The sequence below is a fragment of the Homo sapiens genome, chromosome 3, assembly GCF_000001405.40.
Source record: "Homo sapiens chromosome 3, GRCh38.p14 Primary Assembly".
Taxonomy (NCBI): Eukaryota; Metazoa; Chordata; class Mammalia; order Primates; family Hominidae; genus Homo; species Homo sapiens.
In genome coordinates this window covers 137,849,301-137,871,425 of record NC_000003.12, presented here as the reverse complement: position 1 = coordinate 137,871,425, position 22,125 = coordinate 137,849,301, and the positions used below count along the sequence as shown (strand labels likewise).

Here is a 22,125-nt window from a genome sequence, read left to right as displayed (position 1 = left end):
TAGGTGAAGTGTGTTTCTTGTAGGCAACAGATCAATGGGTTTTGCTTTTTCATCCATTCAACCACTCTATGTCTTTTGATTGGAGACATTTATATTCAATGTTATTGTTGGTAAGTAAGGACTTACTCCTGTCATTTTGCTATTTATGTTCTGGTTGTTTTCTGGTCTTCTCTTCCTTTCTTCTTCTGACTTCCTTTAGTGAAGATAATTTTTCTCTGGTGGTATGATTTTGTTTCTTGCTTTTTTTGTATGTCTCCATTGCCTGTTTTTTGGATTGAGGTTGCCATGATGCTTACAAATACTATCTTATAACCCATTATTTCAAACTGATAACAATTTAACACTTTTACATAAACAAACAAATGAGCAAAAAGAAAACTAATAAAAACTCTAAGCCTTTATCCCCCACTTTTTAACTTTTTGGTTTTTTCTATTTATATATTTTTGTACTGAGTATATCTGGAAAAGTTGCAATAATTATTTTTGATTGGTTCATCATTTAGTCTTTCTACTTAAGATAAGAGTAGTTTACACACCATAGTTAAAGTGTTATAATTTTTTCTCTGTGTACTTACTATTACCAGTGAGTTTTGTACCTTTAGGTGACTACTTATTGCTCATTAATGTCCTTTTCTTTCTGATTGAAGTACTCTGTTTAGCTTTCTTGTAGGACAGGTCTGGTGTTCATAAAATTCCTCAGCTTTCATTTGCCTGGAAAAGTCTTTATCCTTCATGTTTGAAGGATATATTTGCTAGATATACTATTCCAGGGTAAAAGCCTTTTTCCTTCAGCACTTTAAATATGTCATGCCACTCACTCCTGGCCTGTAAGTTTTCCACTGAAAAGTTTACTGCCAGATGTATTGGAGCTCCATTGTATGTTATTTCTTTCTTCTCTCTTGCTGCTTTTTAAGATCCTTTACCTTTGGGTAAAGTTTGATTATTAAATGTCTTGAGGTAGTCTTCTTTGGGTTAAATCTGCTTGGCATTCTATAACCATCTTGTATTTGGATATTGACATCTTTCTTTAGGTTTGGGAAGTTCTCTGTTAATAATCTTTCTACTCCTATTTCTCTCTTTACCTCCTCTTTAAGGCCAATAACTGTTAGATTTTCCCTTTTGAGGCTATATTCTAGATCCTGTAGGTGTACTTCATTTTTTTTAAATTCCTTTTTCATTTGTCTCCTCTGACTGTGTATTTTCAAAAAGCCTGTCTTCAAGCTCACTAATTCTTCTTTTCTACTCGATCCATTCTGCTATTAAGGGACTCTGATGCATTCTTCAGTACAGCAGTTGGGTTTTTCAGCTCCAGAATTTCTGATTGATTCTTTTTAATTATTTCAATCTCTTTGATAAATTTATCTGGTAGAATTCTGAATTTCTTCTCTGTTATCTTGAATTTCTTTGAGCTCTCTCAACACAGCTACTTTGAATTCTCTGTCTGAAAGGTCACATATCTCTGTTTCTCCAGGAGTGATCCCTGGTGCCTCATTTAGCTCATTTGATGAGGTCGTGTTTTCCTGGATGGTGTTGATTCTAGTAGGTGTTCTTTGGTGTCTTGGCATTGAAGAGTTAGGTATTTATGGTAGTCTTCACTGTCTGAGCATATTTGTATTTGTCCTCCTTGGGAGGATTTTCAGGTATTTGAAGACTTGGGTGTTGTGATTTAAGCTGTATCTGCCTTAGGGGAAACTCCAAACCCAGTAATACTGTGTTTCTTGCAGACTTGTAGCGGTATCCCCTTGATAGTCTTGGACAAGATTCAGAAGAATTCTCTGGATTACTAGGCAAAGAGTCTTGTTCTCTTCTTTTACTTTCTCCCAAACAAACAGAGTCTCTGTCTCTGTTCTGAGCCACCTAAAGCTGGGGGGTGGAGTGACACAGCACCCCTGTGGCCACCACCACTATGACTGTGCTAGGTCAGACCTGAAGCCAGCACAGTACTAGGTCTTGCCTAAGGTGTGCTATAACCACTCCCTGGGTACTGCATATGTTTTCTCAAGGCCCTGAGGCTCTACAGTCAGCAGGTAGCAAAACCAACCAGGCCTGTGTCCTTCCCTTCAGGGTAGCGAGGTCCTGGCTGGGTCTAGATGTGCTGTCTGGGAGTCAGGGACTAGAATCAAATACCTTAAGACGTCTACCTGGCGTTCTATTGTAACTGCAGCTGAGCTGGCACTCAAACCACAAGATGCAGTTCTTCCCACCCTTCCTTCCCTTTCCCAAAGGCAAAGGTGCCTCACCCCATGGCCACTGCCACCTCAGGCCATAAGGAGTACTGCCAGGCTACTGCCGATGTTCCCTTCTGGCCCAAGGGCTCTTACGTCAGCCTGTGGTAAATGTTACCTGGACTCACCCTTCAGGGCAGTGGGCTCCCTTCTAGGCCCCAGCAGGTCCAGAAATGCCATCTGTGTCAAGTCCTGGAATCAGACATCCTAAAAGCTCACTTAGTGCCCTACCCTCCTGTGCCATGCTGTTACCTGAAGCCAGCAAGTCTCAGAGCCTCACCCAAGGCCCTTGACATATTACCTGGGTATTCCTGCTGATTATTCAGGGCCCAAGGGCTCTTTGGTGAGCAGAAGATAAAGGTTTCAAGGACCAAGTCCTTTCCTTCAAGACAGTGGCCTTTCTTCTGGCCCAGGGTGTGTCTAGAAACATTGTATGGGAACTAGAGCCTGGAAGGGGAGCCTCAAAACTCTGATGAGTACTCTATCCTGCTGTGACTGAGCTGGTATCCAAGACACAAGACAAAGCCTTCTCCACTCTTCCCTCTCCTCTTCTCAAGTGGATGGAAGGGGTCTCTTTTGGAGCTGCAAGTGGTGCAGCCTGGGAATGGGGAGTGGGTAAATGTCACCCTTCCCTCCTTCAGGCACTGTCTCTGGGCCTAGTTCAGCATTAGGACTCACCTACGAGTTGCAATCCTTATGGCCTGGATGACCTTTCAAGTTTACTTGGAGACACAGAGTGCTGCAGCCCTCAGTGGTGAGGGTTGCAGGAACTCAAGTTCTGTTAGCTGGGATGTGTGATTCCTCTCTGGCTAGGGCTCCTTTAAAGGCTCCCTCCATGAGCAGGCATCAGCTGAGTTTGGTCTGGTTTTCCTTTCTGCTCTAACAGGACAGCACTGAGTTCAATGCCTCACAATGGCTGTGTTCTCCCTCCCCCAGCACCTAGAGATGCTCCCTGCACCATGCTGCTGCTGCTGGGGGTCAGGGAGGGGTGGCATCAGGGATTCAGGACTGTTTCATCTTTCTCTTCTGTGCCTATTTCAGTGATATGAACTTAAAACCAGGTACTATGAGGGCTCACCTAATTTTTGGTTATTATGAAGGTGTTTTTTTCACTATAGATAGTTGGTAAATTGGTGTCCTTGTAGCGGGGACTTTGGTGGAGCCTTCTATTCCACCATCTTGCTCCACCTCTCTCAAGCATGGGTCTGTTGCCTTAAAAAAAAAAAATCATTAGGATCCTTTTTGAAAAACTGATCGGGTAAAGCCACCACTCAGTTCATGGTATTTTGTCATAGCAACCTGAATGGACAAAGACAGAAAATTGGTACTGAGAAGTGGGAGTGCTGTTGTAACAGATTCCTAAAATGTGGAAACAGCTTTGGAACTGGGTCATGGGTACAGGCTGCAGGAATTTTAAAGTGTGTGCTAGAATAAGTCTGCATTGACGTGCATAGATTGTAAGGGTGATTATGGTGAGTGCCCAGAAGGAGAAGAGGCAAACTATAGAGAAAGCCTCAGTCTTATTAGAGAATACCTAAGCAGTCATAAACAGAATGTTAATTAAAATATGGATGATAAAGGTCATTCTGGTGAGGTGAAAGACAGAAATGAGGAATATGATATTGGACAGTGGAAGAAAAACTATCTTTTTAATAAAGTGGCAAAGAACATGGCTAAATTGTTTTGTGTTCTATTATTTTGAGGAAGATTTAATTTGTGAGCAATGAAATTGGATATTTGGCTGAGGAAATTGCTAAGCAAAGTGTTGAAGGTATGGTGTGGTTTCTCTTGACTTCCTATAATAAAATGCAAGAAGAGAGAAATGATTTGAAGCTACAATTGTTAATGAAAAGGAAGCAGAACTTAACAATTGTGAAAAATCTCAGCCTATCTCTATCGGAAAAAATGAGAAAACCTGTTTGGAAGACAACAAGGGTGTGGCCAAGTGATTGATACATCAGGCATTTCAGTGGAAGCCAGGTGCTATTTATCAAGACAATGGGGAGATTAGTGAGCTGTCTAAACAGAAGTCAGAACATATTCCTAAGACAATGCAAGAATGTCCCCAAAGGCATTTCAGAGATCACTGGGATTGCCCCTCCTATCATAGGCCTAGAGTGCCAGGGCCTGGGGCTGGAGCAATATCAAGGGTGGGGAATCCCTGGTGCCTGTGTTACCTCACATCTCAGGCTTCTCTCACTGCGCTGGGTTGCCATGCTGCTTGGCGGCCTGAAGTGCAGCAAGTGCTGCACCCAGCAAAGCTTCGGAGGTATGGCTGCCTCCATCTAGATTCCAAAGTATGTTCCAGAGAGCTGGGGATGAAGCAGAGAGCTTCCATGGGGGCAGGGTCACCTCTGAGACCCCAGATGGTAGAGCCACCTGTGTGATTCCAGCTCAGAAGAGCTGAAAGCACACAACTCCAACCTGTGAGTGCCTTGGACTGGCTATTCCCAGCAAAGCCATCAGGGAGAGACTGCCCAAATCTGTGGAGGCAGGACCACTGGCCCAGTGGGTAGGGAAGATGTTATCAAACCAAACTAAGGTCCACTCACTGTGTTTAGTAAGGCCAGATATCCACACCAAAATTTGCAGTGGGAGAAAGCAAGGCCTTTCTTTGCAGGGCACCAAGCAAGAAGGATCAGGCAGCTAATGCTCAAGTCTTGACTTCCCAGATTGCTTGAAGGTAGGATTTTTTCAAGGTAGGGATAAATTTCAGGAAGGCAGAAGTTACAAGCAAAATCCTAAATCAATACATGGAGGCTACAAATTAGTTTTGAGAGGTTACACGAAGGCAGGATATCTTGAAGTGGGGGCTTCTAGGTCATAGTCTATGTAGAGTCAAAGATTTTCTGATTTGCAATTGGTTAAGGAAGAGAAGCTTTGTTAAAAATGTTGAGGTCAGGAGAAAAGACTGTTAGCTCTGGCTCATGAGCGTGACCTCCTCCAGGCCCTTCAGGAAGAACTTTAGAATAAAGAATGGTGGTCAGAGTTCAGTCCGCAGTTCCCCCTTATCTGAGATCTACATGCCAGTGGATCCATTTGGTGGAGTTATGGGTTTCTGAAAAACAACACAGAGACATGTGTTAAGATGTTATCTTTAGTTTCTATGAGGAACCAAACATCCTATGATTCCAGCTTCCTGGGCTATTGTTTTAAGCTACTATTACATTCTTGCTTATCAAGTTACTTATTTACTTTTCAGGGATAGCTAGGTACTTGGGATTTCTCTTGAAGGCACTCAAGATTTTCCTTTATTTCCATGCTTGGGGGGACCTGCAATCCCCTAAGTGAGGGTTCTTCCTCCATCTTAATGGCAGGACCTTTGTCGCAGTGAGCCTGGAGGGCAAAATATCAGGTCAAAAAAGATTATTCTCCAGGTTTAAAGCTTTAGACTTGATCGAGACCTGCCTCTTTTTTCTTCCTTCCTATGTCTTTCTTTTGGAATGGGAATGTCTGTCCTGTGCCTGTCCTGTCCCATCATTGCATTTTGGGAGCACATAACTTGTTTGGTTTCACAAGTTCACAGCTAGAGAGCAATTTGCCTCAGAATGAATCAAATTTTGAATATCACCCATATCTGATTAGCATGATATTTAAATGAAACTTTAGATTTTCACATTGGTGTTGAAATGAGTTAAGACTTTTCGGACTACTGGGATGAAACAAATGTATTTTGTATGAGAGAGGGAATTGAAATTTGGGAGACTAGGGGTGCAGTGCTGTGGTTTGAATATTTGTGTCCTCCCCTCCAAATTCATTTGTTGAAATCTTACCCTGTAAAGTAATGGTAATAGGGGGTGGGTCTTTGGAAGGTGATTAGGTTGTGAGGGTGGAGCCCTTGTGAATGGGATTAGTGCCCTTACAAAAGAGGCCTGAGAGATCTCCTTTGGCCCCTCTGCCACATGAAGTTACAACAATCACCTCCAACTCAGAAAAGAGAGGCACATGGGAAGCCACTGAATGGAGTCTCTTGCTTGGCAATTCCACCAGAACCTGTGAAAAGGGGCAGGAGCAGTTCCCCAAAGGTGGGGATACCCAGAAGAGGCACATAATACCTCAAGGGAGAGGAGAGATGCTGGGTAGCCAGAAATAATAAAAGGCCACTATAGCTTTCCAAACTATATTTGAAGAGAGGCCTAAAAATCATCATTTCCCCCCCTCATATCACTTAATGGTTATCTTTTTACCACCAAAGCTCTATAATATTTCATGATAAATTGTTTTTGCCTGAAATTTGATGAAAACTTCTTTTTTCATTAGGGAAAATATTACAAAGTGTATAAAAGGAAGGAAAACAGGGTGTTTTGTTTTAAAAAGCAAACTACTCTACATCTTGTTGGTGCAACCAGATGTGCCTTGGCTTTTGTTTTTGCATATTCATTAGATTTCATTGTTCAAAGTGATCCTGTAAGAATCCAGCCAAGCCTTACAAGAGGATGTCATACTGGCCTCATTCCAAGGAAATCAATAATTTTATTTCAAGCTGCTCTCCCTTCTCTTAGCTGTGGGTTTCTAAGCAAGGCCACTGGTGTTCCCCTCTCTATGAATTACAAGGTGGTTCAGACCTCCAGTATTTCTATTATAGAGCATTCTGTCTTTCATTTAAAAATTGCCTCTTATGAGTATTATTCTCTGTTCTAAAAAGACTTCATTGTTTCTCTTCTATTCTACATTCCTTCTGTGTTCAAGGTCGCTAGTTACTCTATTATTCAGGCAGACAATCTTTTCATAATTTTTTTTTCCAATCAGTCTCCGTTCAAGGACTTACATTCTCAATATCCCCCATAAGTTTTGCCATTTCTTCTCATGAAAACATTCTCCATAGCTTCCCTTTCTTTAGCAGCTTCATGTATTCAGTTCTTTGTAATGCATTACTGTGCGGAATGTAGGCAAACCTTGTTTATGGTACATTTTGTTTGGGTAAAAAGATTTCTTCTTATTTCCTTAGAATCAGCAACGATTAACTAAAGTTTATGAATTGATTTGGGAAAACCCGCTGTTATTATCTAGCTTACATGGAGAGAATTCTCAGCCTCCAAGGGGCAAGAGACACAAGTTTTGAGGGTAGCAGAAACAGAGCATAGATCAAAAGGCAAGGATAACTGAAGCTGGGGTTTTATGGGAAAAGTACAGAAATCAAAATAATCTTTTGAATAAAAGTTCCAAAATAAAATTTAAGGTGGTCAGAAATCTTGCTTAAACTAAATATATATGTATTATATTGTTTTATCAAGAGACTATCCCATTAATACTCACAGCAACTACTAATTAATGACAGCTTATCATGTATTGCTTCTAACCACGAAGAATTGCAATTAAAGTCCTCATTTTACAAAATGCAAGATCAGAGAACTAGTAAAAACTGGGCCTGTTTAATTCCAAAGTCAGTGATCTTTTCTATCCTCTGCTGCCTCATAATATAGTATGCAATGCTGACATGTGCAAAGCTGGTCTTTAGACTTGAATAATCCCTGTAAGAGGAACGATTTTTAATGAAATAGACTGAATATTCTATAAAAGAAATATTGGAACTATTGAACCTCCTTGTGAGATGGGGCAGTTCCCTGACCCTCTTGTGGGATTTGTGAAGGGAGAGCGGGGGGATGGCTCATTTTGCTTGGCCACTGAGCTCAAACCCCTTGTGGGAGGGGGAGCACTTAGGTGAGCAGGTGCAGGAGCTGGGGTGAGTGCCTTTAGGCACCAGCAGGAATGAACCCTTTACCAGCCTGTGGCAGCATCTAGTGGTTGCCCAAGACCTCTGGAGCCCCAGAGAGTGTGTGCTACAAACAATGCTCTTTTAGTGTTTGCCATCTGTGGATGGCTAAGTGTTAACCAGTTCAGTGGAGAGTCAGGGTGACAGCCTTTTACATCCTGCCCTCTTGATACCTGGGTCCTTGTCTGGTGTCCAGGAAGGATCAGGTCACATGGACTTGAAGGATGGTGAATGAGGAGGTTTTATTGAGTGATGGAGGTGGCTCTCACAAAGAGGAGCTGGGAGGGGGATGATGCGAGAAGAAGATGATCATTCCCTGAAGCCTTGCTGTCTCCCGCAGGGCTCCTCTCCAAAGTTGTGCCATCTGAGATTAAGCATGCATATCCATAGTCTCCATCACTCTGTTGCTTCTTCTCCTCACTCGTTCTCTGCCACGCCACTCTGCTCTTCTGCTGGTGAAGTTTGGGGTTTTTATGGATACAGGTTGGGGGGTGTGGTGGGCCAGGGTGGTTTTGGAAAAACCAACGTTTGGGTGGGAAAACAGGAATAATTGTTCTTATTTAGGACAAGCTGTGGCTTCCAGGCTTGAGGGTCAGGCCTTTGCCTGGGAACTGCCCTCTTCTATCCAGTATTTCCCTGCCTCCCATCTGTATCACTTGCTATACCTATGAGATCCATGTCTAATTTTCTTGGACCAAAAATCCAGATAGACCTGATAATTTGAAGTTAGGGATGACTCTAGGTAAATGTATAAATAAAGACTTATTCCCCTTCTGCGGTACCCTCATTATTATGCCAATCCCAGGGGATATTCATTATCATCATGATACACGTTAGCTCTGCCATACTTCCTAGCTTGTGTGAACTGGAAAGTTACTTAGCTTCTCTGAACCTCATTTCCTGCATGTAGAAATTGGAGAGAAGAGATTGGATCAAGATAGCATACTAAACACATATTTTGGCCTTTTTTCTCATCATAAAACCATATAAATGGCAGAAAAATACTTTAAAAACTCATAACCGTTCTGGAAAACAAGAAAAGGCTATGTTAATTTACCAGAATGTAGAAGGAATAGTTGCAATCAGAAAGCAGATGGAATTTGATGGAGAAACCACAGCCCAAAACATACTTAGGAACATTTCATTGTGGGAGGTGAGAGGGTTCTAGAGACTCAGCAGAAGCAGATAATATCTTCAAGTGTATAAATATAAATGATCAGGGTGAAAAAATTGGAAGCAGGTGGGAGCGAGGAGCTACTTTAAGTAGGGACAGGAAAAAGAGACTCTGAGGAGCCCTGAGACCTGAGGGATAGAAAGAGCCAGCAATGAGAAGACACAGGGACAAATTATTCAGGAAGGGGGAACAGCAAGTGCAAAGAAAGTAGAAAGGAAAGAACATGATCTTGGATAAAAAAGAGCCCGGTGTAGGTACAGCAAGTGAGTGGACTGAAGTTGGAGATGGTAGCTGGGATTAAGAGCCCCTTGGAAGCACTTATGTCTCTGAAGGGCATGATTGTGTTGCAAGGATTTGAGGGGTTATGAGAACCAACTGTTTGTTGCTGATGACTTACCTTGTTTCTTTGCTGCTGTCTGTTCTGCTGTGAGTCCTCATATAAGTGGGGCTAAGATCTGAGCTCTCACCTTCCATCCTAGAAAACTAAGGAGAGTTTGGGGTTTGATGGTTATAATGAGTAATTTGTCAAACTCCTTACTAATTTAACTTCAGGTTTTCTGAGCACGGATGGCCTGGGTGGGCAGTCTTAGGCTCTGAAAGAGAAGGGTTTGGCCTAGGCCCTGAACTGTTTGGTGAGAGGTGATCAGCATGCCAACCTGAGTGGAATGGCCATTCCACTCCTGCTGTGCCTTCAGCTGACCCCAATATCCTTTCTAATCACATACAAGCTGGTTTGGAAGGTTGATGGGTGGTTGTGAGTAGAAGGTTGTGCCAGGAAAACTGTAGAAAGCGAACCTTTTGCATTCTTTCTGACAGTGAGGCCTGATACTCTACTTATATCTGCAGTTTCTAGAGCTGAAGTGGGCTATTGAGAATACATTTAAGAAGTAAGCATGGAGTAGCATTCTGAATGTGGACTGATAACAGCGCCTCACTTATCAGCAGAAAATTGCACGCTGCAAGGCAGCATTGGATGGGAGGTCTAGTGGACAGTGATTTCTGTATTCTTTATCAGTAAGGGCTTAGCTGCAGAGAGGTTGGTGCATTTGAAAGACTCAAGAGCCTGGGGATTGGCAAGGGAAGGGGCCTGGCCAACACCCTTCATCACTTCCAGAGGTTCTTTCCAGCAGCCATAAAACAAATAACTGTCAGTCTTAGGTTCCAACTCCGGGGTAGGATTGAAGCTTGTGAGAAAGGTCAGTGGGACGATTTCAAGAGGCTGAGATCCATAGAAAGGGAAATCATAAGATCTGCAAAATTGCCCAAATGATCACTCATTTGTGGAGCAGTATATCTGCTCTATAGAACTATAGGCTATAGGTTATGATGGAGTTACAGAAAAACTCTGCCATAACTCTATAAGCAGGATCTAAACTTTTCAATCTTGTAAGTATGGGGATCACAACATAGGAAGCCTAATGAAAAACAGTCTTTTTCAGTGAATCAGTATCTTAGCCTATTTAGGCTGCTATAACAAAATACCATAAACTGGATAGTTGAAACAACAAAAATTTATTTTTCATAGTTCTAGAGGCCGGGAAGGCCAAGATCAAGGCACCAGCAGATATGATGTGTAGTGAATGTCCACTTCTTTCATACAGGGACATCTTCTCATTGTAACTTCACATGACAAAACACAAGGACTTTGATCTCTTCAGCCTCAAATCCCATGGCACTAATGCCATTCATGAGGGCTTCACCCCCACGACCTAATCACTTCCCAATGGCCCCACTCCAAATGCCATCACATTGGGGATTAGGTTTCAACATGAATTTGAGGAGGATGCAAACATTCAGACCATAGCAGTCAGTAGTGTCCTAAAAAACACAAAAGTAAAGATGGTAGATTGTGTACTATACATGAGTGGACATATATGGAAAAAAGAAAGTCTTAAATGACCCTGGGGTCAATGCTTGCTTTGTACCTGTCCCTTCTCAACCCCACCCAAGATAAGAACTTCAGCTGCACCTGTTAGAAAAAAAGGAGATAATTGACAAGTACATTATATGCAAATGTGCATCACTGGGGCTGTGGGTGAGGTTATGAGTGTAGGTACTATTGTTCTGGGAAAGATCACCTTACGGTGCTAAGTGGGGCATGAAGATCTCAGATATAAGAGAAGCAGAAGTAGCTATAAATAAATGCAGCTCCATTCCTGTGGCCCAAAGTATATTTAGAGGAATTATGACACCCCTGCCCAATATATATGCAGTGGAAACCTACTGTCAAAGATAGGACAGGGGGAGATTGAAAACTCAGACCACTCAGACCAGTGAAGGACAACAATTAGTATACATCAACTTTTTGTCTCTACAACCTGACAGTTGAAACTACAGATTTTGTGGTGACAAATCCTGTAGTCATGAATTCTAAGCATGTCCTATCAGGGATGAGCAAGTGTCTATTATTGCATAGATATTAGGGGAAAAATTCTTCTCTGATCAGATTCAGTCTAATCAAAGGAGGACTTGGAGACTTGGTTATTATGAAAAATTTCCTCGCTGAAGGTCAAACAGCTTATAATTACTCTCTATTATCCCAAAGAAACGTATAATCCCATGGAGGCAATACATGGGTCCTCAAATGGGAATTACACCACTTTCTTCACTCCCAATTCTTGCTTTTGAGACCAAAGCCAGGCTACCTGTGGGCCTCTGTTTTCTGTTTTGCTGCAGACAAAGGAGCAGAAAGTGTAGCCTTATCTCATAGACTGCTAAACTGAGGAATATTCTCCAGGAGCTATTACAAATGGGCTACTGGGGCATCCCAGCATAACATGGTATGATTAAGAACTCCCAGGCTGGGTGCGGTGGCTCATGCCTGTAATCCCAGCACTTTGGGAGGCTGAGGTGGGCAGATCACCTGAGGTCAGGAGTTCCAGACAAGCCTGGCCAACATGGGGAAACCCCATCTCTACTAAAAATACAAAAATTAGCTGGGCGTGGTGGCGAGCTCTTGTAATCCCAGATACTCTGGAGGCTGAGGTAGGAGAATCACTTGAACCCAGGAGATGGAGTTTGCAGTGAGCCAAGATCACGCCACTGCACACCAGCCTGTGTGACAAGAATGAAACTCCGTCTCAAAAAAAAAAAAAAAAAAAAAAAAAAAAAGGAACTCCCTGAGACCTCATGTGTGGTCCTAGGACATGTAGGCCAGACACAGGCCTCATTTCAAATGAGATAGCGTAGCTTTCAGGAACCCTGCATTTAAAATGCACCACTCAGTACTCCTGCCAGTTTGAGAAATGCTCTGAGGCTGAGGTATGTCTGTCTCAGTGCTATAGGGTAACACTGAACCTATGAGAACTTGGTCAAGGGCTTCCACTCTGTCCTAGCACACTGGTATTCACACAAAGGACATAGGACAACAGGCAGTATTCCAAATGGACCTCAAAGGGATCCCACCATCTCCTAGCATGAAGGTGGTAAGGATGAGTAGAAAGAGGTGGAGGCTACCCCTTGGGTGGAGCAAAAGAAAATTTGCCCAGCCTAGAGATGGAGCACCTTTCACCTCATCATGTAGAAGCAGCAATCCCCTTCTGTGAGCTCAGATCCAGATGCAGCAGCATTTGAGTCCAAAAGATCCAGTGAAGCTGGAAAAAAAAAATAAAAACATCAAAAAACCAACCAATCAACCAACCAACCAACCAAACAAACAAACAACAAAAACCCAGCATCACTGGGGAAGGGGTGGTGATACCCGTGGGATGTGAGCAGAGCTGCGTTTCCACCACTGGGGAGCAGGTGTCAGCTCATCACAGAAGGATCTGAGAAGTCCATCAAGCAGCTCAATTACCTCATGATGGTCTGGATGAAGACATCTCTTAATGTGGCTAATTTAACATGGTGTTAACGTTGGTGTTAACTGAGATGTTCCAGTCCTCTTTACTCCCTGTGTGGGAGAGAATAGGAATTATATATATATATTTTCTCCCAGGGAGGTCGAGGCATTCCCCCTTTCCTAGAGTGTAAGGTAATAGGATGAATCCCTTTGTAATATGACTCAAGGTGAAGATCAAGTCCAACTATTTATTAGATAGTAATATATGCCAGAGATGTGCTTACAGATTAGATATTGCAATCCATCCCTCTTCTGCTCCCGGTCCAGGCTTACCCTTGTCCTTGGTATGACATCCTTGTATGGTCTTACACAGTTAGACCATTTCTTCAGAATGGAAGGGAGTGGGGAAAACAAAACAAAACAACAAAACAAACAAACAAAAAACCTATTTGGCCCTGCAGAGAGTGAGAACCATTGCCTAAGCAACTAACTTTCCACATTCAGCACATTATTGAACACTATGTATCCAACTTGATTAGGCTGAATCCTGATCCCATCACTAAACACTAAATACTTTATGATACTTATACTATCCTGGATGATTCTGGGACCTATCAACAGTTAGGTGCAGGTTTTAAAATAAGATCTAACTTTGGTAGACTCTTTTTTTATCTTTTTTCATATATCCCAACAGTTCCCAAGAATAAAATATCCTTGCTGAAAGGATTTTATAGTATCCCAGACACCTATCTGCTTAGCATAAGATGCTGAGAATAGTGTGGTGGCTTGGATCAGGCCCAAAGTCACCTATACATCTGAGAAGCCTTTTCCAGCCAAAATTATAGTACAGAAATGTATGCATATTGGGGTGTTGGCGGTCATGCCAGTGGCTATGCTGTGACTCTTTGCCTTTGCATCTTAGGTTCTCCAATCCTGCCTCTCAATCCTCTTCTCATTTCATAAAAGAGCTCAAACAATTCAACTCAAACATCTCCTTCTTTTCTTATTTTACTTGTTGATATCTGGGGAAACCCTAAAATTTCTGCTACTGTTTTGCACCCCAGAGGAAGAGGAAGAGCACTGGGAGAGAGGGCCAAGGGTACTGCTAGGGGCTGGAAATTAGGAAGAGGCTAAAACCCCAAGTCATTGTATGGTTTGCCTCTTTATGAGGCTCTGCAATAAATGGACCTCCATGAGATCCCACCTTTTCTCCTTGCATTTCATCTACTTTGTTTCATCTTGCCATGAAGGGGTCCCCTGTGGAGGCCAAGTCCTGGGAGTGCACTGGGGAACAAGAAGCTAGGGAGGCCACCTGGCTTCTTTGGCCCACACAAAGGCAGTGTGGTAAGTCACCCACAGTCTGGCCCAGCTCACAGGTTTGCCCTTCCACAAAACAAAAATAAAAATTGTGTCTCCATGCACACGTATGTTTATAGCAGCACTGTTCACAATAGCAAAGATTTGGAACCAACCCAAATGCCCATCAATGATATACTGGATAAAGAAAATGTGGCACATATACACCATGGAATACTATGCAGCCATAAAAAAAGGATGAGTTCATGTCCTTTGCAGGGACATGGATGAAGCTGGAAACCATCATTCTCAGCAAACTAACACAGGAAAAGAAAACCAAACACTGCATGTTCTCACTCATAAGTGGAAGTTGAACAATGAGAACACATTGATACAGGGAGGGGAACATCACACACTGGGTCCTGTCGGGGGGCAGGGGGCTACGGGAGGGAGAGCATTAAGAGAAATACCTAATGTAGATGATGGGTTGCTGAGTGCAGCAAACCACCATGGCACATGTATACTTATGTAATAAATCTGTACTTTCTGCTCATGTATCCCAGAACTTAAAAGTAAAATAAAAAAAAAATTATGTCTCCTGCATTGCTCCCTTAAGATCTTCAGGGGTGATGGGCAGCTGGCTGGGAATTTAACACCCTGGGTTTGGGCCATCCCTATCTTTCCCTTTAAGTTCACTCAATTTCCAGACCAACTTTCAGAACTGATGTCTTCTTTATTTGTGTCTCCCTTTGGGTCTTGTGCAGACTTTCCTTGTATTGCTTATCATTCAAAGCTGCAATTACTTTTTACTTGAGTTTCTTCCCCCTTAGGTTCTGAGCTCCAGAAGAGCGGTGTACTGGGTGGAATAGCGTCTCTGAAGATTCATTCCCTTCTGGAACCTGAGAATGCAATCTTATTTGGAAATAGGATTTTTGCAGGTGTAATTAGTTAAGGTAAGACCACCTTAGAGTGGACTAGAGTGGACCCTTAATCCAATGTGACTGGTGTCTTTAAAAGAAGAAAAGAAGAGACAGAAAGTGACATACACAGAGGGAAGATGATATGAAGAGACACAAGGAGAATGCCCTGTGATGACAGAGGCAGAGACTGGAGTGATGCATCTACAAGTCAAGGAACATCAAAGATTGCTGGCAAACACCAGAAGCCAGAAAGAGGCAAGGAAAGATCCTCACCTTTTTCACCCAGAGCCTTTGGCAAGAGCATGGCCCTGCTGACACCTTGATTTCGGACTTCTGGCCTCCAGAACTATGAGAGAATAAATTTCTGTTGTTTTAAGCCACCAAGTTTGTGGTACTTTGTAACAGTAGCTCTTAGAATTTAATGCAGGGGCTGTGATCTGGTCACTCTTGTATTGCAGGAACATAAACAGGGTCTGGAATGGAGAAGTGAGCTCTTAATATTTGCCAGATAAGAATTGCATGTAGAGAGGGAGGACAAGAGAAGTGTGATGGAGGAGGGAACAGACACAAAAAAGTGAAAAGCTTGCCTCTCTAGTGCATGTGCCTGAAGTGGAGACACCTGCAAATCACTGTATGCGGTATATGCCCAGTAAGCCCTCATTCATTATTCAGAATGAATAAATGAATGAATGAATTTGATATTGGATTTCTCTCATCTTCACATTGCCTCTAAAAGAGCCATCAGTTGACACACCTAGTGGGAGGAAAACAATGAAACTCTCTATGTCCAATCAGCAACGCGGCAGAACTATGTCAAGAAACATACGTGTACAAATGTCTCATAGAAAGTGTGACAGTTTGCTCTGCCCCAAATACCAGGGGCAAGGCCCGAGGATCGGACCTGCCTCAGATATGGAGCGAGGCAGTGATGCTCGGCATCACGCTGCACCTGCCACTCTCTCTGCAGCGACCTGGTCCCCTGCTGCATTTAGATCCAAGTCGAAAATCTTTCTTCTCCATCCTAGCTCTGCCACCTGGTTCCTCCAGACTCCAGCCTGTGCTGCAGTCTTCCTGGGAAAGCAGGCTGGTTTTCCTGCAGTTCCTCTGCTGCCCCCACTCTGCTTTACCCTCCCTCCCTCATTGTTTGTCATTGGCCAGCCTTGTTTGCAGCACAAGGACATGAAGAAGACATTCCTCCCATTCTCCAGTGATTGTCACTAATTGAAATGGGAAGCAAGACAAGGCTCCAGAAGAAAAGCTTATTATTGGCTGCCTTGTTGGAAGAAAATGAATCACCCTAAGCAGATAGGTTTCTGTGATCTCAGGCAAACCTCACTCTTTATTCTACACAACCCCGTCTAATTGTTCAAGAAAATGTTCATCTGCTTCATAATGGAACAGCCATAATGGAAGTGTTGTGAAATCACTGAAAAGTTTATTCAAGACTCCCTTCTGAAAGCCCAGTCATAAAGCACGGGCTTCGGAGGAGTTAATAGAATTGGTTCTCACTGAAATGGCATGGATAACAAATTTCCTGAACATGTATCCTTTTAAATGTGCCTGTTGGTGGGAGTCTGAATTGGCATTTGACAGATGCAAAGCACTAACAAAAGGGGTGAATTTCCCAGCTCTGGCGTTAGGCCCTCCCCTGTGGCTGTGTCATCAGAGTCCCTGCCCAGCCTCTCACAACTGAATGGGGACTAGAAACCTCCAAGATTCTCATGAAACCAAGTCTTGCAAACAGGGAATATTCAACTACTTCCTCAAAGTGTTAAACCTAAAGAAGAGAAAGTTATCCCATGAAGTGGAAGAAAAACATCCAGAAAGAATGGGTGGACAAAACGAGGCTTTAGAAGACAAGCTACCCTGCAGTGAAATTTCTTCCAATAAATTATGTCAGGACGAAGGAGTCAGAACCAATGAAGAAAAAGAAACACAGAAACCATACGGCAGACCTGTGCATTCCTCATGCACTACATAGCTCCTGATAAATAGAAAGATATTTAAGATACATTTCTGCCCTCAAGAAGCCAAGTTAGATTCATTTGTTTATCCATTCACTGAAGAAATAAATACTTTTGTGCTGGCAGCCATTCAAAAATGATGATCATTTGGAGGAAACACTGGAGAAATTTGCCACGATTTTTATGGCAAGTTCAGAAAAGGGAGAAAACCACTTGAATTGGAGATTTGGGAATTGAATTGCAGAATTTGGGAAATTGATTTGGAGACCTCTACTCCTTCCCCACATGTATCTCATGTCTCCTCAGCTTCATCCAAGTCTAACCTTCCAGAAACTTGTGACTTTGGTTGTCAGGCAGTAAATGTACGAGTGATTCTCTTTGCTTCTTCTAATGTTCCCAAATGCCACATTCCACACTGGACCATCTGTAACCTAATTTTCTCTTTCTGCTCCCCATAATGAAGAAATGTGTGATGGATTAAAGATAATTGCATATTATTTTTTAAATATTATAATTTGCTTCATATATTTTAAATGAATTTTTTGAGATAATTGTAGATTTATATGACTGCATATTCTTAACTCTTCCACCATTAGGTGGTGAGGTCTGTGTCCCCTGGAAGGCTCTATGACTGCTTCAACCCACAGAAAATGTTGGAAGTAATGCTATGCCAGTTTCCAGACCCAGAGAGAGAAAGTGGCCAGTGCCACTTCCTGTTTATGAGAACATTCTCTCTGGGAACCCGGAGATGCCATGCTGGAGAGGCTAGCAAGTGGTCTAGTCGACAGTCCCAGCTGAGCTCAGCCTTCCAGCCATCTCTTCCTAGGCACAAGATAAATAAGTAAAGACATCTTGGACCATCCAAACCAGCCCAAATGCCAGCTGAGTATCATCAGGTGACCTCAGCTGATACAACATGGATCCAATAGAGCTGAGCCTAAAATTCTGACCCCAAACACCATGAAAGATAATACAACGGATATTGTTTTAAGCTATTAAGTTTTGGGTTGGTTTATGACATATAAAAGAAGAGGAGATCAAAAGCGCAAATGATAGCAGTGATTCTTTTCCTACTTCTGAGGTGAAATCTTCTTTGCCTGCTTCTTCCATTGGTGCCTAGCATTCATCTCAAGTCACGCATACCATGGAGTCTTTTTGGTGACACGTACCACAGCTAGAAGGCCATGTAGTGAGAGCTCTTCTATTGGAAGCAAAAATAAATTTTTCTCAGAGATACATATCCCTGGTCCAGAAGGAATTTGCCCACACAATGGCCCGTATGTATGAGTGTGTGTGTCTGCTTCTTGCTTGTGTGAGAAATATATGTTTCATTATGGGACTTCATTTTCTGTCCTCAATGGAGCCTTTTTCATTTTCTTTTCTCTTTTGGTGGGGACAATAGAGACCATTTCAAGGCAAAGCCCTGTCTATTGCTTTTGTTTTTCCCTCCCTGTTTTGTTGCAGGCTTTGCCTCAGCATTCAGCGCTGGCGTTTCTTGAGGTGGTCGGCATTGTTCCTTCCTCCTGGGACTGGCAGAACGCTTGGAGGGTCAGTTGGAAATGAAGCTTCTATTATCTGCGATCTGTCTCACCCTCTAAGCTGGTCCGTCCTTACACTAAGGCTCAGCCAAGCATGAAGAAAACTAATTGTCCCCACTCTCTGCTCTGCTGCACACCAAACCCCCACTTGTGCTTCTCCTGGTTCCCCACTGGTCGGAGAAAGCCTCGCCTAAGCGGAGGCACAGAGGGACACGTTCCCAGGTACCGCTCCGCACAGCATGTGCAGCTTGAGCTGCCTGTGACTCAAATTGAGGTGTCCCAGGGCTTCTCCCGGAGCTGCCAGTGCCAGGGAAGGGGCGGAGGGAGGGAGAGAAAGATGACGACTGTGCGTGCTCCCAGTAATTGCAATGGGCATAGGAAAGGGGACTTGATTAATTTGCCTGATGAATTATGCATCACCTCTGTGTGCCGCCCTCCCAGCTTCAAAGCTTTATTATTCACATTGCTTGGATCTGACCACCTCTTCCTTCCTTGCTTTGAAAGCTGTTGTCCAACAAGTACCAGGGAAGTCTTTGGCTTTTGACTGCTGCGACCACCTCACAGAGTGCTTCCAGGAGTTGACAGAATTACTGAGACGTAAGCTGTAGTAAATTTAAACACACATACATACACACACACGCACACACACACATACACACACAGAGCTGGAGTAATTCATCAATAACAAGCCTAAGATTTATGACGTGAGGGAGAACTCAGCTGTCTTTTGTAGTCTAGGACAAAAAAAATTAAATACAGAAGTGGCAATTACTTTGTTAGTCGTGTTTAAAGTTAACACCACATGAAAGAAAGTCTCCTTTAATAAAGAAAGGAGCAACAAGGAATGCCATGGCGGTGAGATTAACTTGGTGTTTTCAAGGCCTGTGGATCGAAAATTTGATCTCCCAATTTTTCATCTTTCTGGTCTGTTCAAGCTGAGGTTGAAACAGGGGCTTTTTCAATCCCCCTTGAGTAGTTAGTGGCAATCCGGCCTTTCATTAGGGCTCCTAGCATGCCCTAAATGATTCGGTCCACCTTGCTACCCATCCTTCCAGGTGAAGACAGAAAACTCTCTGTATTACTAATAAGCGTAAAATAAAGGCAGTACTTCCTGCGTGAAATTGGGCTTGAAGAACTGAGAAGGAGGGCCCAGTGTTTTGTCAAGTTTTTTCTGTCAAAGCTCAGTCTGAGAGGCAAAGCTAACAAGGGAAACAAATTCAGTTAATGAAATAAGACTATGATTTAAAAGGGTTTTTGGTAACAGCTTTATTGACATATAATTAACATACCATATAATTCACCCACTTAAAGTGTACAAAGTGTACTATTCAATGGTTTTTAGTATATTTATAGAATTTTTCAGCCATCACTACAATACATTTTGGAACTTTTTTTTATCACCCCAAAAAGAAACCCTCTGCTCTTTAGCTATGACCCATCTCTCCCTGTTTCCCAACCCAAGACAAACACTAGCCACCCAAGGCTGGCATTTGCAATTCTGGACACTTCATAGAAATGGAATCATAGAATATGTGACCTTTGTGTATGGCTTCTTTTCCTTAGCATAATGTTTTCAAGGTTTATCCATACTGTAACATGAATCAGTATTTTATTCCTTTTTATGATGGGATAGTATTCCATTGTCTGGAATGGAATCTCCAACTCCATTTTGTTTAACTATTCATCAGTTGATGGAGCAATTTGATGATTTTGCAATCTTTTTATTTTGAGTTTTTATGTTTTCTATCTTTTGGGAAGAATATCCTTTCAAGTTGACAAGAAAGCTTTTGAGTAATGCTTTCCTATGAACACTGTAAGAAATGTGTTAGTACCTCGCTATTTGCCATAATCCCAGGTTGGAAGAACGTAAAACCTACTTCCTACTTAGAGTTTTACATTGGTCTTCTTCTAGAAAGCCTCGCCTAAGTGGAGGCACAGAGGGACACATTCCCAGGTACCACTCTGCTCAGCATGTGCAGCTTGAGCTGCCTGTGACTCAAATTGACGTGTCCCAGGGCTTCTCCTGGAGGCACAGAGGAGTCAGCTGCAGTTCCAGCACTGGGCTCTCCCTCTGTTCCTCTGGTGGACTGAGGACCCTCTTGAATCAGCCAATATGAGGCAACCGCATTTTCCTGGCTGTATGTAAAATGAGGGGTTGCACTTGTATTCTTCAACTTCTTTCAAGAGGCAGAGAGCAGAAAGAATGGAAAGACTTCCATATCTGACTTTGAATCCTGATTTCATGCCTTATTAGCTGTGTGGTCTTGGGCAGGTCATCTTATCCCTTCCAAAGGACAGTTCTCTCATCTGTAAAATGGGAAGAACACAATTTACCCATAGATATAGTATAAGGGTAGACATAGTATAAATGGAATGAAGTAATGTCCACAAGGTATCTTGCAGTTGTAAGCAATAAATAAATGGTAGTTCCTTAAGGTTCTACCGATGCTAGCAATCTTCACTGGGATGAGAGTGTGATGGGTCAGCTACTCAGGTACTAGGTTATTTACTGAGCAATTACTAAGTACCCAAAGACATGTAAGAATAAAGAAGACAAAGGCCTTTCCTGTTGTACAATGTAATAAGGAGCCCGACCTAGTCAATATGAAACAAATGGTGGCCAGGACAATATATTATCCCCCACTAGCTAGAAGTGGCTGGTGGCCACTCCCAGTAGCCTGTGGCTTGTCTCTCTTCCAGGGTTTCTTAGCACTTTCTCCTTTGGGTTTGAATTATTAGGTTAAGAGTTTTATCTTCTCCACCAGATTGTGATGTCCTTGAAGGTGGGAACCATGTTCTTTCATATTTAAAATCTAGGCTTATCAGGTAGTTCCCTCTGAAACCATGCTGCTTCTCTAGTTATCTGTTCTTTTTCTTTCACTTTGGAGTCATTTGTGATTTTATAGTTAGAATTTTATTTTTAAAGCCTCTTGAGCCATATTTCCTTTCAAGGCATGGCTCTATAGTCTTGACTATCTTTCCTCAGAACATTCAGATGTTTAATTTCTTAAAGTCTAGGGCATCACTTTAGTTCATGTGGTTGACGTGATGGGCTACTTTCTCACCACTGGTGATTTATCTCTCTCGTGCTGATTAGCAAACTCAACATAGCAATTGTATTCATTGTTTCCTCTACTTTTAGAACCAAATAATTGTCAGAAAGGCAAATCAAATGTTCTTTCTCTGGTAGAACAAGCCTTCCCCTTAAGCTCTGGATAGCTGAAGCCCCTACTACTTCCTGGTCTTTCCCAGGTACCAGGAAGTCTTGCATGAGAGGTAGCCACTGACCAGTCCAGCAGCAACCCAAGTCTGTAGGTCAGGCTGAGACTCAACACTGGTCGGCTTAACACTGGTCTTGCTCCTGTCTCCTCTCCTGCAATTATTATTATTATTTTTTTTTGCTTGGTTATACCAAAGAGTGACTGCTATTTTTCCAGTTAACTTCCCACTCATTTCGCTGAAGGCAGTGATACTTTGTCTCACCTTTCTTCACAAGGTGAGAGAATATTTGAGC

At 42.6% G+C, this 22,125-nt stretch overlaps 2 annotated features.

The window, feature by feature from the left end:
- Positions 2,176-2,677: an enhancer, noted in NCBI's record as "H3K27ac hESC enhancer chr3:137587591-137588092 (GRCh37/hg19 assembly coordinates)". NCBI's record gives its function as "activates a minimal SCP1, AML or CMV promoter by ChIP-STARR-seq in primed H9 embryonic stem cells {active_cell/tissue: H9 hESC(primed)}" and the evidence as "EXISTENCE:reporter gene assay evidence [ECO:0000049][PMID:30033119]".
- Positions 3,950-4,867: an enhancer, noted in NCBI's record as "OCT4-NANOG-H3K27ac-H3K4me1 hESC enhancer chr3:137585401-137586318 (GRCh37/hg19 assembly coordinates)". NCBI's record gives its function as "activates a minimal SCP1, AML or CMV promoter by ChIP-STARR-seq in naive and primed H9 embryonic stem cells {active_cell/tissue: H9 hESC(naive and primed)}" and the evidence as "EXISTENCE:reporter gene assay evidence [ECO:0000049][PMID:30033119]".